This window comes from Homo sapiens, chromosome 3, assembly GCF_000001405.40.
Source record: "Homo sapiens chromosome 3, GRCh38.p14 Primary Assembly".
Lineage (NCBI taxonomy): Eukaryota > Metazoa > Chordata > Mammalia > Primates > Hominidae > Homo > Homo sapiens.
The window spans coordinates 39,215,074-39,228,595 of NC_000003.12; the positions used below are offsets into that span (position 1 = coordinate 39,215,074).

A 13,522-nucleotide genomic window follows, 5' to 3' on the forward strand; every position below is an offset into this window, starting at 1 on the left:
AAAAGAAAACTAAATTCAAGTAAAATAAATTAAAAATAAAACGAAGAGAGCTTCTATAATAAAGAAGCATTTTCTGTGAAGAGGCATTTATGTAACTATTGATAACAATGAAACCCAGTTATAAATAGTTAAATCTAAATATTTCTGATAATATGAAAAAGAAAGAGGTTTGATGTGAAAAATTAGTAAGGAATTAAACATACATATTTTTCCAACACTTCGAGTCATATGGGGGGAGAAGTTACAGTGTCCAGAATTTTGATGATCTGAGAGGTAAAGAGTTATTTAAACAAAAATAGTTGTTAGGCTGGGCACAGTGGCTCACGCCTGTAATCCCAACACTTTGGGAGGCTGAGGTGGGTGGATCACTTGAGGTCAGGAGTTCGAGACCAGCCTGGCCAACATGGTGAAACCCCGCCTCTACTAAAAATACAAAAATTGGTTGGGCATGGTGGTGCGTGCCTGTAATCCCAGCTACTCAGGTGGCTGAGGGATGAGAATCACTTGAATGCGGGAGGGAGGTTGCGTGAGCAGAGATTGCGCCACTGCAATCCAGACTGGGTGACAGAGCAAGACTCTGTTTCAAAAGAAACAGTTGTGGAAGTGATAAATGCACAAGGTAAAGACATTTGAACCTGAGAAAAGGCGTGCAATTAAGAGTAATGAAAGGTAAACCTTCATCCTGGGCTTTCCCTTCATTGCTCTTCTGAGATGGATTCACTCTTTCCTGCCCTTGTCTTTCTTTGATTTCCTTATTTTGTTGGAACACATCCTAAATACGATGAAAGGTATGTTTATTCTACCATTTTGCTGTATTGGTGATTGAGCTAGGTCTAGAATTCTAGAACTTTAAAGGCTTGCTTTTTATTTTCCAGCCCCCAGGATTGCTGATGGCATTCTGACACCTTTTTGTGTGTGTGTGTGACAGCTTTTACTGCTGTTATCATTTTTGTGTGTGTGCCTGAAGACTTTAAGATTGCCTCTTCATTTTTGGTGTTCTGAAACTTGACCATGACGTGTCTGGTTGTAGGTCTTTTTTCCATTCAGCCTATTTAGTAATTGGGGAGGGGAGCTTTGAGTGTCTTCAGTCACCTATGTGAATTAACCCAGCCCTTTTTCTTCAAATATAAATGGGCCACCATGGACCACCAGACATTTCTGCAAAACCAACAGTAAAATTGAGAAGGACTAAGATGAACAAACAGGAAAAAAAAAAAAAACAGATAGCATTAAGGGAACTGAAAGTTGTAAAGTGCTGACTGGTCTCTCTCTCTAAATCCATGACCACTGAAACCTCAAGTAGCTCAGAGTGCTGCTCAGCAGCTGTCCTTCTTTCCCCATTCCATCTGCTCCCCTAGGCGATGCCTTTATAGCTTACCTCTTTCAGACCTCCAGTGCAGTCTCCCCATGCCACCTCAGCTGATTACCTTGCTCCTTACTTTCTTGAGAATTAGAAGTGCCAGAAGAGAATTTTCATGAGCTCCCATTGCCAGATCCACTCAGTCTCCTGACCCAGTACCCACATGCCTTGTCTTCCTTCCTATTTGTGTGCAGTAATTGTCTCTACTCTTAGCTCAGGCTGGCTCTTTCCCTGAAGCCCTAGATCCTAACCTCTCTCCGCTTCTTAAGAACATGGCTTCACCATTCTCTGCCTTCTCTCCTGAATCATCATTTCTCCCCTCTCTACTGTATTATTCCCATCTGCAAACATGCTGTTATTTTTCACATCTTAAAAAACCACAAAAAGCATTTCCACCTTCCCCTCCAGCTACTGCCTTTCGTCTCCCATTGTCTCTCTCTCTGTCTCTCTTTTTGAGACGGAGTCTCACTCTGTCACCCAGGCTGCAGTGCAGTGGCGCAAACTTGGCTCACTGCAATCTCTGCCCCCTGGGTTCAAGCGATTCTCCTGCCTCAGCCTTCCAAGTAGCTGGGACTACAGGCACACGTCACCATGCTCAGTTAATTTTTGTATTTTTAGTAGAGACAGAGTTTCACCATGTTGGCCAGACTGGTCTTGAACTCCTGACCTCAAGTGATCTGCCCACCTTGGCCTCCCAAAGTGCTGAGATTAGTCTTGAGCCACAGTGCCCACCCCCATTCTCCTTTAATCAAGATTTTGCCCCCACCACTCTACCCAAACAAATCTTGTCAAGTTCAACAATGACCTCCTTATAACTAGACCCAAAGGTCAATTTGCAGGCCCCAGATTCCACTGGATGCAGGGAATCATGCCACCTACCTTGAAGCACCATCTTTACTTGGCTTCCAGGACCCCTGCACTCTCCTGGTTTGCCTCTGATCTCACTGGCAGCTCCTTCTCACTCTCTATTGGTGGTTCTCCCTCCACTGTCCACCCTCCTAATATTGGGATCTCCAGGACTCAGTTCTTGATCTATTCTCTTCTTTATCTACACTTCATGAATTTCTTTTTAAAGTCCATGTATATATAATATCTATAATCCTAACTTCTTTCCTCTGATCTCAAGGCTCATGTATTTCACTGCCTTGTAACATCCCCTTTTGGATCATAGGCATCTTATGCTTAGAAAGTCCCAAATTGAGCTCTTGACCTACCCCTTACCTCCAAAATAGCTTCTTCCACAGTCCCCCTCATCCCTCAGTAAATGCTAATTCAGGTCTCCTAGTACTCAATCTGAGAACACAGGAATCTTCTCTTTTCCTCACTTGACACATCCCATGCATTATGTATTATATAAAACTTACCCATTATATATCCAGAATCTGACATCTCATAATCATCTCCATTTAGCTGGTCCAAGCTATCATCGTTTCACACCAGAACCTTCTGAAATAGTCTCCTAACCAGAGTAGCCAGCTTGTCACAGTTTGCCTGGTACTTTCCCAGTTTTTGCACTGAAAGTCCAGTCTCAGGAAATCCCTCAGCCCTGGGCAAACCAGGATTATTGATTATCCTACTTCCAACTGGAATCTTCTCTTCTTCCGTTGCCTCCTTACAGTCTATTTTCAATACAGCTAGGGTGATTCTTTTAAAATGCAAATTTTATTATGTCACTTCTCTGTTCAAAACCCTTCAATGGCTTCCTACCCAACTTAGAAAGAAAGCTATTGCTTTCAGTGGCCCACAAGACTATAGGATCCACAGGCTTGTAGGAAAAGATGGAGAATTCAGCTTTGAGCAGGCTGATATTGCAGTACTGTGGAATGTTCAACTGGCAATGTCCAAAATTGAATGGAGTATCAAGAATATCTTCTGTTTGGAAAACAAAAATAGATTGCTATGGAAAAACTTGCAAGAAAGAATTCTAGGAAATTAGAAATATTTGTTAAAATGAAAAAAATCAACGGTAGACCTGAAAGACAAAATTATAGATGCTCTGTCTGGTGATACTAATGATATATTCATAAGTAATATGCATATGATATAGTTATATATTATGTAAGATAAAAATATATAAAATACATATAAATAAATTTATTAAAAAATACATTTGCAACATGATGCACCAAATTCCCAAAATCTTCAGCATGCATCTTTCCAAACCAAGGACACTCTTCTACATAACCAGCATACAACTCTTCCAGTCAGGAAATAAGAAATCAGCTCTAACACTAACATCTAATCCAAAGAATATATTCATATTTTGCCAGCTGTCCTAACAGTGTCTCTTTCCTGTCTAGGCCAGGATCACACTTTGTACTTCATACACAAGTCTCTTTAGTCTCTTTCAATCTGGAATAATTCCTTGGTCTCTCCCTGTTTTTCATGATCTCATTAGTTTGAAAGAGTGCAGACCTTTCAGTCTCTAGGACGAAGCTCAGCCTGGTTCCACCAATGTTTCCTCAGGACTGGATTCACATTTGTGTTCTGGGAGTGCCGAAGCTCAGCCTGGTTCTACCCATATTTTGTCAGGACTGGGTTCACACATGTGTTCTTGGAGTGCCAAAGCTCAGCCTGGTTCCAGCAGTGTTTCCTCAGGACTGGGTTCACACATGTGTTCTGGGAGTGCTATACGGAAGGGAGGCTGTCCTCTTCTCACTGCATCACACGAGGGGGCATACAACGTGGGCTTGTCCCTACACTGGTGATGTTCATCTTTAGCACCTGGTCATTTTGTGTCAGGTTTCTCCACATTAACTCATCAATTTTCTATTTGTAATTGATGAACATTTTGTGGGAAGATATTCTCAAACTATGCCAATATCTTGTATCCCATTAAATCTCCACTAACTTGACTTAGTAGTTATTGATTACTTTTGCCTGAATTAACCACCATTATGGCGGTTGTAAATGGTGGTTTATCCATTATCATCATTCCTACGATATATATTAGCTGCTATGCTACTATAAGGAAGACATTTCCCTTTTCCTCCACTTACTTTTTTACTTTTTAAAAAAATTACTCATACTCAATCCTCTACTTATTTTTATTGACATAGACTCATGGATTCCTATTTTATTCAGCAGATTTAATCCATTACCATCAGTATTTATTTTAATATCAAATTATTCCAGATTTGGCTAGAGGATAACCATTGAAATTTGTACCTATGAGCTATAGACATGCCCCCATCATTCTTTGAGTAATTCTTTACTTTCTGGCACAAGAAAATGTTTCAGGTTCATCTTGTAATTTCCCTGCCTTGGCCTCAGAATTACTTATTTCTACAAGAAGTGCTAGAGTTGAGAATGATATTTGGAGACTATAATCTAGGTACTTGGTTGCTTATTGCTTCTGGGCCTTCCTGCCTCATATTGGCGTAGGATGGGAAAGTCAGGAGCTGGGGACACCCTCCCTCTCTCAAGAGCAAAGTAATTTCTCAACTTTCATAGACCATAAGACTTACTCATCACTGCATCTCTCTGCATCCTCCTTCTTTTAATCAGCTTCTTTGCCTGCACGTGGGTCTCTGTGCCCATCAGCCTTGAGTCTGACCTGACTGCTGACCTGCCCACCATTATTGGCTACGGAGTCTGCAGTGCCCAAACTGTGAGAGCAATAATCTGCATGTCTCTGTCCAGTCTATAGATTGGTTCATCTTGGGCTTGGGTTCTACCTCTAGTCTAATCACTTTTTGTCAGGGCAGTTAGCAATGTTACAATAGTGGCTGGGACAGCCCTGACAGAGCTGTAGAGAAGATGGTGCAGTTTCTCTAGGGAGGAATGAGTCCTGTGGAGGACCCTGACTACATCTGCCACATTCTATAGTCATACATTAGGTTCTTATAGAAAAGTTTTTAGATTTTCAGAAGTGAGGACATTTGGTAAAGGTTCTGTGTATCTGAATATTAAGGATCATTTTGGGTTCATGGATCAGTTATTGGGAAACACTGATCTAACTCCAGCACTTCAGTTTCTCGGATGAGTAAACTGAAGGCCAGAGAGAACAAGAGACTTGTCCTCATGTACATGGCCTGTCAACAGCAGATCTGGGATTAGAACCAGGGCTGGCCATCCAGTGAGGCGAGAGAAACATCTAAGAAGCAAAATGTAAGGAAGCCCTCACCGTCAGGATCATGCAAGTGCCCTAGGGGCTTCCCTTGACTCACCCTAGGCCCAGCCCAGATTAGAACTCCAGGATCCTGCTTGCCAGGAGGGAGAGATCACAACTGGCTTGCGGTGTATGGGTAAGAGGGACTGATGGGGAGTTTTCCTGTGTTGCCACCTTCAGGGAGAAGGAAGTTCCTGAGGAAGGCTGGTTAAGCTAGTGTTCCCAAACTGAAGGATCCAGTAGCTTGGGATGGCTGCTCACTGGAGAAGCTTGAATTATCCTGCATGCACAGAGCACTGAGGCCCCTTCAGTCTGGGTGGAGAGTTCCTGGCCTGGGTTATCTTTAGCTGGTTGCTGAGAGTTGCAGCATTTCTCAGCCCTGGTGATGGACACTTCTGTTTTCCCCCGTCTCATAAAAATAGACCTTCCCTCCAACCAGACCTGCCTTGTTAGATCTGTTCTTACATAGACAGGACGTGTGGGGTTTGTGCTTTTTTAGCCTCCAGTCTGGTGTCTGCTTCCTTCATGTGGAACTGCTTACTAAGAATTTTACCACAGGAGGATTTTAAGAAAGTAAATGTTGGCTTTGTTGTTGGTTGAGGTTAAAAACAAAACAAAACAAAACAAAAACAACAACAACAACAACAAAACCATCAAGATAGTCAAAAGAAATAAAGGAGAGAAGAACAAAAGAGAAACAGCTGAACCATTTTGTGACCCTTTTTCTGCTACTGCCCTGGTCAAAGGCACAATTTGTTCTCACCTGGATTCCTGCTGCATCTCACCCTGATTTGGTGTGTGCTCAACAAGGCAGCTGTTAGCTAACATACAGATTAGGCAAGAAAATGAAAATGAAATAAAAGGCATTCAGATTGGAAAGGAAGAAGTAAAACTACCTCTATTCACAGATTATATGATGATGTGTATCCACTAAATCCACTGAGAAACTGTCAGAATTAATTAATGAGTTTAGCAAGGTTATAGGATATGCAGACAGTATGTAACAATCAATTTCTATAACTTTGCAATGAACAATCCAGAAATGAAATTAAGGAAACAATATTTATAGTAGCATCAACTAGAATAAAACACTTAGGAATAAGGTTAACAAAAGAAGTGCAAAACTTATACTCTAAAAACTACAAAACAGTATTGAAAGAAATTAAAGAAAACTAAATAAATGGGAAGACATCCCATGTTCATAATCAGAAGAAAATAAATATTGTCTCAAATACTTAATAAATATTAAGCATTAAAACAGCAATATTCCCCAAACTGATCTATAGATTCAATACAGTTCCTATCAGTATCCCAGATGACTTTTTAATAGAAATTGACAAGCTGATCCTGAAAATTATATGGAAACTCAAGGAACCCAGAAGAGCCAAAAACAATCATAAAAAAGAAGAAAAAATTAGGACTAATTCTTCCTAATTGCAAAACAATAATCAAGACAACATAGTACTTACTTAAGGATAGACACATAGATTAATAAAACAGAATTCAGAGTTCAGAAATAACCCCATTTATCTATGGTTAGGTGAACTTTGACAAGGATGTCAAGACTATTCAATGGGGAAAAATGAGTCTTTTCAACAAATGGTGTTGGGATAACTGTACAGCCCCATACAAAAGGATGAAATTGGACCCTTACATTGTGTATAAAGATTAAACCAAAGTGCATCAAAAACCAAAATGTAAGAGCCAGAATTATAAACTCTTAAAATATTGGTATAAGTTCTCATGACCTTGAATTTGGCAATGGATTCTTAGATATGACACCAAAAGCACAAACAACAAAAGAAAAAAAATTGGAGTTCATAAAAATTAAAAACTTTTGTCTTTCAAAGGACACTACCAAGAAAGCAAAAAGACAACTGATAGAATGGGAGAAAATATTTGTAAATCTAGAAGATATAAAGACCATGTACAACTCAATATTGAAAGAACACACAACCCAATTAAAAAATGGGCAAAGGATCTGAATAGCCATTTCTCCTAAGACATGCAAGGGACCCCTAAGCACATAGAAAGATGCTCAACATCGGTAGTCATCAGGAAAATGTAAACCAAAACCACAGTGAGATAATACTTCACACTCACCATGAGGACTACAGTAAAAAAATCAGATAAGTGTTAGCAAGGATGTGGAGAAAGAACCTTCAAGTACTGCTGGTAGAAGTGTAAAATGGTTTAGCCACTTTGGAAAACAGTGACAGTTCAGCAAAATTTACACATAGTTACTGTTTGATCCACCAATTCACTCCTAGGTGTATACACAAGAGAAATGAAAACATGCTTCCACTCAAAGATTTTTACGTGAATGCTCATAACAGCATTCATAAAAGCCCAAAAGTCCATTAACTGATACATAGATAAATGTAGTATATTCATATAGTGAAATGTTATTTGGCCATAAAAAGGAATGAAGTACTAATACATGCTACAACATTGATAAACCTTGAAAATATTATTCCAAGTGAAAGCAGACAGTCACAAACGACCACATATTGTATGACTCCATTTATAGGAAATGCCAAGAATAGGCAAATATATAGAAACAAACAGAAAGTAGACTCCTAGTTGCTTAGACCTAGCAGGGGGAAGGGGTTGATGAGAACACTGTGAAGTGCTGGCTAAGGGGTAGGGTGTTTCTTTTTGAGGTGACGAAAATATTTAAAAATTCACTGTGATGATGCTGCTGAGGCTGTGGAGAAATAGGAATGCTTTTACACTGTTGGTGGGAGTGTAAATTAGTTCAACCATTGTGGAAGACAGTGTGGTGATTCCTCAAGGATCTAGAACCAGAAATACCATTTGACCCAGCAATCCTATTACTGGGTATATACCCAAAGGATTATAAATCATTCTACTATAAAGACACATGCACATGTATGTTTATTACAGCAGTATTTACAATAGCAAAGACTTGGAACCAACCCAAATGCCCATCAATGATAGACTGGATAAAGAAAATGTGACACATATACACCATGGAATACTATGCAGCCATAAAAAAGAGTGAGTTCATGTCCTTTGCAGGGACATGGATGAAGCTGGAAACCATCATTACCAGCAAACCAACACAGGAACAGAAAAGCAAACACTGCATATTCCCACTTGTAAGTGGGAGCTGAACAATGAGAACACATGGACACAGGGAGGGAAACATCACACACCGGGCCTGTTGGGGGGATAAGGAGCAAGGGGAGGGAGAGTATTAGGACAAATACCTAATGCAAGCAGGGCTTAAAACCTAGATGACAGGTTGATAAGTGCAGCAAACCACCATGGCACATGTATACCTATGTAAGAAACCTACATGTTCTGCACATATATCCCAGAACTTAAAGTAAAATTTAAAAAAAAATCACTGTTGTGATGGTGGCACAATTCTGAGAATGTACCCATTAAGTGTGATATTATACTTTGTAAATGAGTGTATTGTATGGAATATAAATTCTATCTCATTAAAGGTGTGTGTGTCTATACAAATCGGATCATATCTTGCCTCTGCTGAGCATCCTCCAAGAGCTCTCCTTTCCTTTAGAAGAGTAAATTTCCAAGTCCTCCTAATGCCCCACAAGGCCCCACAGAATCCAGAACCCTCATCACTACCTCCTGGTCTCATCTCCTAGTCCTGTACCCTTTCTCTTTGCTATCCCTCTAACTGGACTGCTTTCCTCCCTTATAACTGCATGGCTCATACCCTTCCTTCTTCCAGCTCTTTATTCAAATGCCACTTTCTCAACTAATTGACTCTGACCATTCTATTTAAAATTGTAGTTCTGACCTTACTGCCTTGTTCCATTTTTCTTTTCCATAGCACTTATCATCTCAGCAGGTGTGATAGTCAAAATATTTAACAGTCCATCCTATAGGGTAGAGAACTATAGGGTACGAAAAAAGGTAGGAATTCTAGAGACCCCTGCTGGGCTAGCACGAACCCTGTAGTTACTAGATCATGAAGAGATCAGGGTGGTGGTGTTCCTGGAAAGGGGCAAGGAAGCTAGGGAGCACCAAGGCCTTAGGGCAGAGGTACAGAAATATTCCCACTGGACTGGCAGACTAGTACCTGATAAATACCTGATCTACTTGTATTACATTACATAAGTTTCTTGTTATGCTTATTATCAGCTTCCCCTATTAGGACATAAGTGCCACGAATGCAGGAGCTTTGCCTATTTTGTTTACAGTTATATTCCCAGCCCCAAGAGAAGCACATAGCAGGCTTTAAAAAACATTCGTTGAGTTTAAGAAATAACAGCATGTGGATTTTGGAAATAGGCACGAAATCTATATAACCTGGACCTTCGTGGTTAAGATTTTCCAGCTGCAACACATGTTGAGAAGGTCTGTGTGTTGATGGCCCAGGACAAGCACCCTGGTTTTATCAGTTACTGAAAATGCCATACAAAGAAGAAGGGGGCTAAGTTCCTGGACCTAGAGGTGGGGAGGGAGTGGATTAGTCAGAATTCTTGGCTGCAAGGTACAGAAACTAAATTCATACTGAAGGACAGGAAGGAGTTAATGGCTCACATAACTGAAAAGTTCAGGGTTTTATCTGGCTTCAGATGCAGGTGGATCCAGAAATTCCAACACTGTCATCAGAAATTTATCTCTTCATTCCTTTGCTCTGCTTTCTTCTAAATCACCTTCATTCACAGACTAGATCTCCCCAGGTTGTAGCAAATACAACCACAGGCAGATTTAGTTCTAGCAGCTGAGTACATTTCTTTGGGAAGACAGGACCCTTTGCTGCGCAGTTGGCCCAGGTTGGATGACAGGCAATCCAGAAGAGAATCTGCCTGTGATTCAGACAGACCCCTGTCCAGGGGGATGGAAGTCCAATTACCCACAAGGAGGAAGGAGGCCCATTGAGTTCACACCAAATCCTTTGTGGCTTTCAATTACTCTTGGCTGAGGGTCATGATATAGTATTGGATTCTTGACATATTTTGATGGTAGAGTGGGCAAGATTTGCTGAGGGATTAAATCTAAGGGGTTGGAGAGGAGTCCAGGATGATCCAAGATTACACATCTGGGCAATTAAATGTATCAAAATGCCATAAGCCAAGAGGGAACACTGAGAAGGAGATGTTTTGGGTGGAAGTCAGGAGGTCAGACTTACTCATGTAACTTTGAGACATTTATTAACACACAACTAGAAGATGTTAGGGAAACCACTTGACATACAATCTATAGTTCGGGAAGATGCCCAGGTGGAAAATATAAATTTCATGGTCATCAGAAATGGATTATATTTAAATCCATGAGCCTGGCTGAGCACCTAGGCAGCAAATATAGATAGAACAACGGAAGGATGAAGAAGTGAGTCTTGAGATGCTAAAACATTAACAGGTGGGGAGATGAGCCAGAAAGGAAGACTGAGAAAGAGATCCAGCAGAGTAAGAGGAAAACCAAGAGAGGAGGAAGAGGGAATTGATCAGTTGTGCCAAATGTGTAAAATGCTGTTTATAAGTTGAGTAAGATGAGAAATAGGATTGACTGTAGGAGTTAGCAATGTGATAAATGACCTTGGCCAGAGCTGACTTTGGCCAGAGCTATTATGGTGAAACAATGTGGACAAAAATTTGATTGGAGCACATTTAAGAAAGACTGGAAGGAGAGGAATTGGAGTCGGTAAGCAGAGAAGAAAACTTCTTTTTTAAAGACTTGCTCTGCGAAGGAGAACAGAGAAATTGAGCTGTGGTATAAAAGGGGAAGTGGTATCAACAGGCACTTTAAAAGTTAATTCTTTATAATTTTTTCTGTAAGTTTTCTTTTTTTTATTATTTTTTAATTAAAGTTTTTATTTGGATTAAAGTTTTTACTTGGAGGTAATAGTGGATTCACATACAACTGTGAGAAATAACACAAAGACATCCCATGTTCCTTTTACCCAGTTTCCCCAAAGGGTAACATCTTGTAAACTATGGTAGAATACCACAACCAGGATATTGACATTCATAGTGTCAAAATACAAAACATTTTCACCACTGCAAGGACCTCTCACGTTGCCCTTCAAGAGACACACCCCCCTCCCTAGCCCCCAACAACCACTAACCTCTTACTCATTTCTATAATTTTGTCAGTTCAGGAATATTATATAAATAGAATCATAGAGTATGTACCATTTGGGATAGCTTTAAAAAAACTCAGAATAATTCTCTGGAGATTCATCCAGGTTGCTCCATGTATTAATAGTTCATTTGTTTTTATTTATGAGCAGTATTCCATGGCACTGACATACCACAGTTTGACCATTCATCTGTTGAAGAATATCTGAGTCATTTTTAGTTTTGGGTTATTATAAATAAAACTGCTATAAACATTTGTGTACAGGTTTTCTTGTGAGAACATAAGCTTTCATTTCTCTGGGATAAATTCCCTGAAGTACAATTACTGGAACATATGGTAGTTGCATGTTTAGTTTTAAAGAATCTGCACCCCTCTCCCTCTCCCTCTCCCTCTCCCTCTCCCTCTCCCTCTCCCTCTCCCTCTCCCTCTCCCTCTCCCTCTCCCCCTCCCTCCTCTCCCTCTCTTTCCACGGTCTCCCTCTCAGCCGCCGAAGCTGGACTGTGCTGCTGCCATCTCGGCTCACTGCAACCTCCCTGCCTGATTCTCCTGCCTCAGCCTGCCGAGTGCCTGCGATTGCAGGCGCGCGCCGCCACGCCTGACGGGTTTTCGTATTTTTTTGGTGGAGACGGGGTTTCGCTGTGTTGGCCGGGCTGGTCTCCAGCTCCTAACCGCGAGTGATCCGCCAGCCTCGGCCTCCCGAGGTGCCGGGATTGCAGACGGAGTCTCCTTAACTCAGTGCTCAATGGTGCCCAGGCTGGAGTGCAGTGGCGTGATCTCGGCTACAACCTCCACCTCCCAGCCGCCTGCCTTGGCCCCCCAAAGTGCCGAGATTGCAGCCTCTGCCCGGCCGCTACCCCGTCTGGGAAGTGAGGAGCGTCTCTGCCTGGCCGCGCATCGTCTGGGATGTGAGGAGCCCCTCTGCCTGGCTGCCCAGTCTGGAAAGTGAGGAGCGTCTCTGCCCGGCCGCCATCCCACCTAGGAAGTGAGGAGCGCCTCTTCCCGGCCACCATCCCATCTAGGAAGTGAGGAGCGTCTCTGCCCGGCCGCCCATCGTCTGAGATGTGGGGAGCGCCTCTTACCGCCGCCCCTTCTGGGATGTGAGGAGCGCCTCGGCCCGGCCGCGACCCCGTCTGGGAGGTGAGGAGCGTCTCTGCCCGGCCGCCCCGTCTGAGAAGTGAGGAGACCCTCCACCTGGCAACTGCCCCATCTGAGAAGTGAGGAGCCCCTCCCGCCCGGCTGCCACCCAGTCTGGGAAGTGAGGAGCGTCTCCGCCCGGCAGCCACCCCGTCCGGAAGGGAGGTGGGGGTCAGCCCCCGCCAGGCCAGCCGCCCCGTCCGGGAGGGAGGTGGGGGGGTCAGCCCCCCGCCCGGCCAGCCGCCCCGTCCGGGAGGTGAGGGGCGCCTCTGCCCGGCCGCCCCTACTGGGAAGTGAGGAGCCCCTCTGCCCGGCCACCACCCCGTCTGGGAGGTGTACCCAACAGCTCATTGAGAACGGGCCATGATGACAATGGCGGTTTTGTGGAATAGAAAAGGGGGAAAGGTGGGGAAAAGATTGAGAAATCGGATGGTTGCTGTGTCTGTGTAGAAAGAAGTAGACATGGGAGACTTTTCATTTTGTTCTGTACTAAGAAAAATTCTTCTGCCTTGGGATCCTGTTGATCTATGACCTTACCCCCAACCCTGTGCTCTCTGAAACATGTGCTGTGTCCACTCAGGGTTAAATGGATTAAGGGCGGTGCAAGATGAGCTTTGTTAAACAGATGCTTGAAGGCAGCATGCTCGTTAAGGGTCATCACCACTCCCTAATCTCAAGTACCCAGGGACACACACACTCTGCCTAGGAAAACCAGAGACCTTTGTTCACTTGTTTATCTGCTGACCTTCCCTCCACTATTGTCCTATGACCCTGCCAAATCCCCCTCTGCGAGAAACACCCAAGAATGATCAATAAAAAAAAAAAAAAAGAAAAAA

The 13,522-nt window shown here is 42.6% G+C and overlaps 1 annotated feature.

Moving 5' to 3' along the window:
* Window positions 5,902–6,001: a silencer, noted in NCBI's record as "silent region_14223". NCBI's record gives its function as "represses an Ori minimal core promoter by ATAC-STARR-seq in GM12878 lymphoblastoid cells {active_cell/tissue: GM12878}" and the evidence as "EXISTENCE:reporter gene assay evidence [ECO:0000049][PMID:35858748]".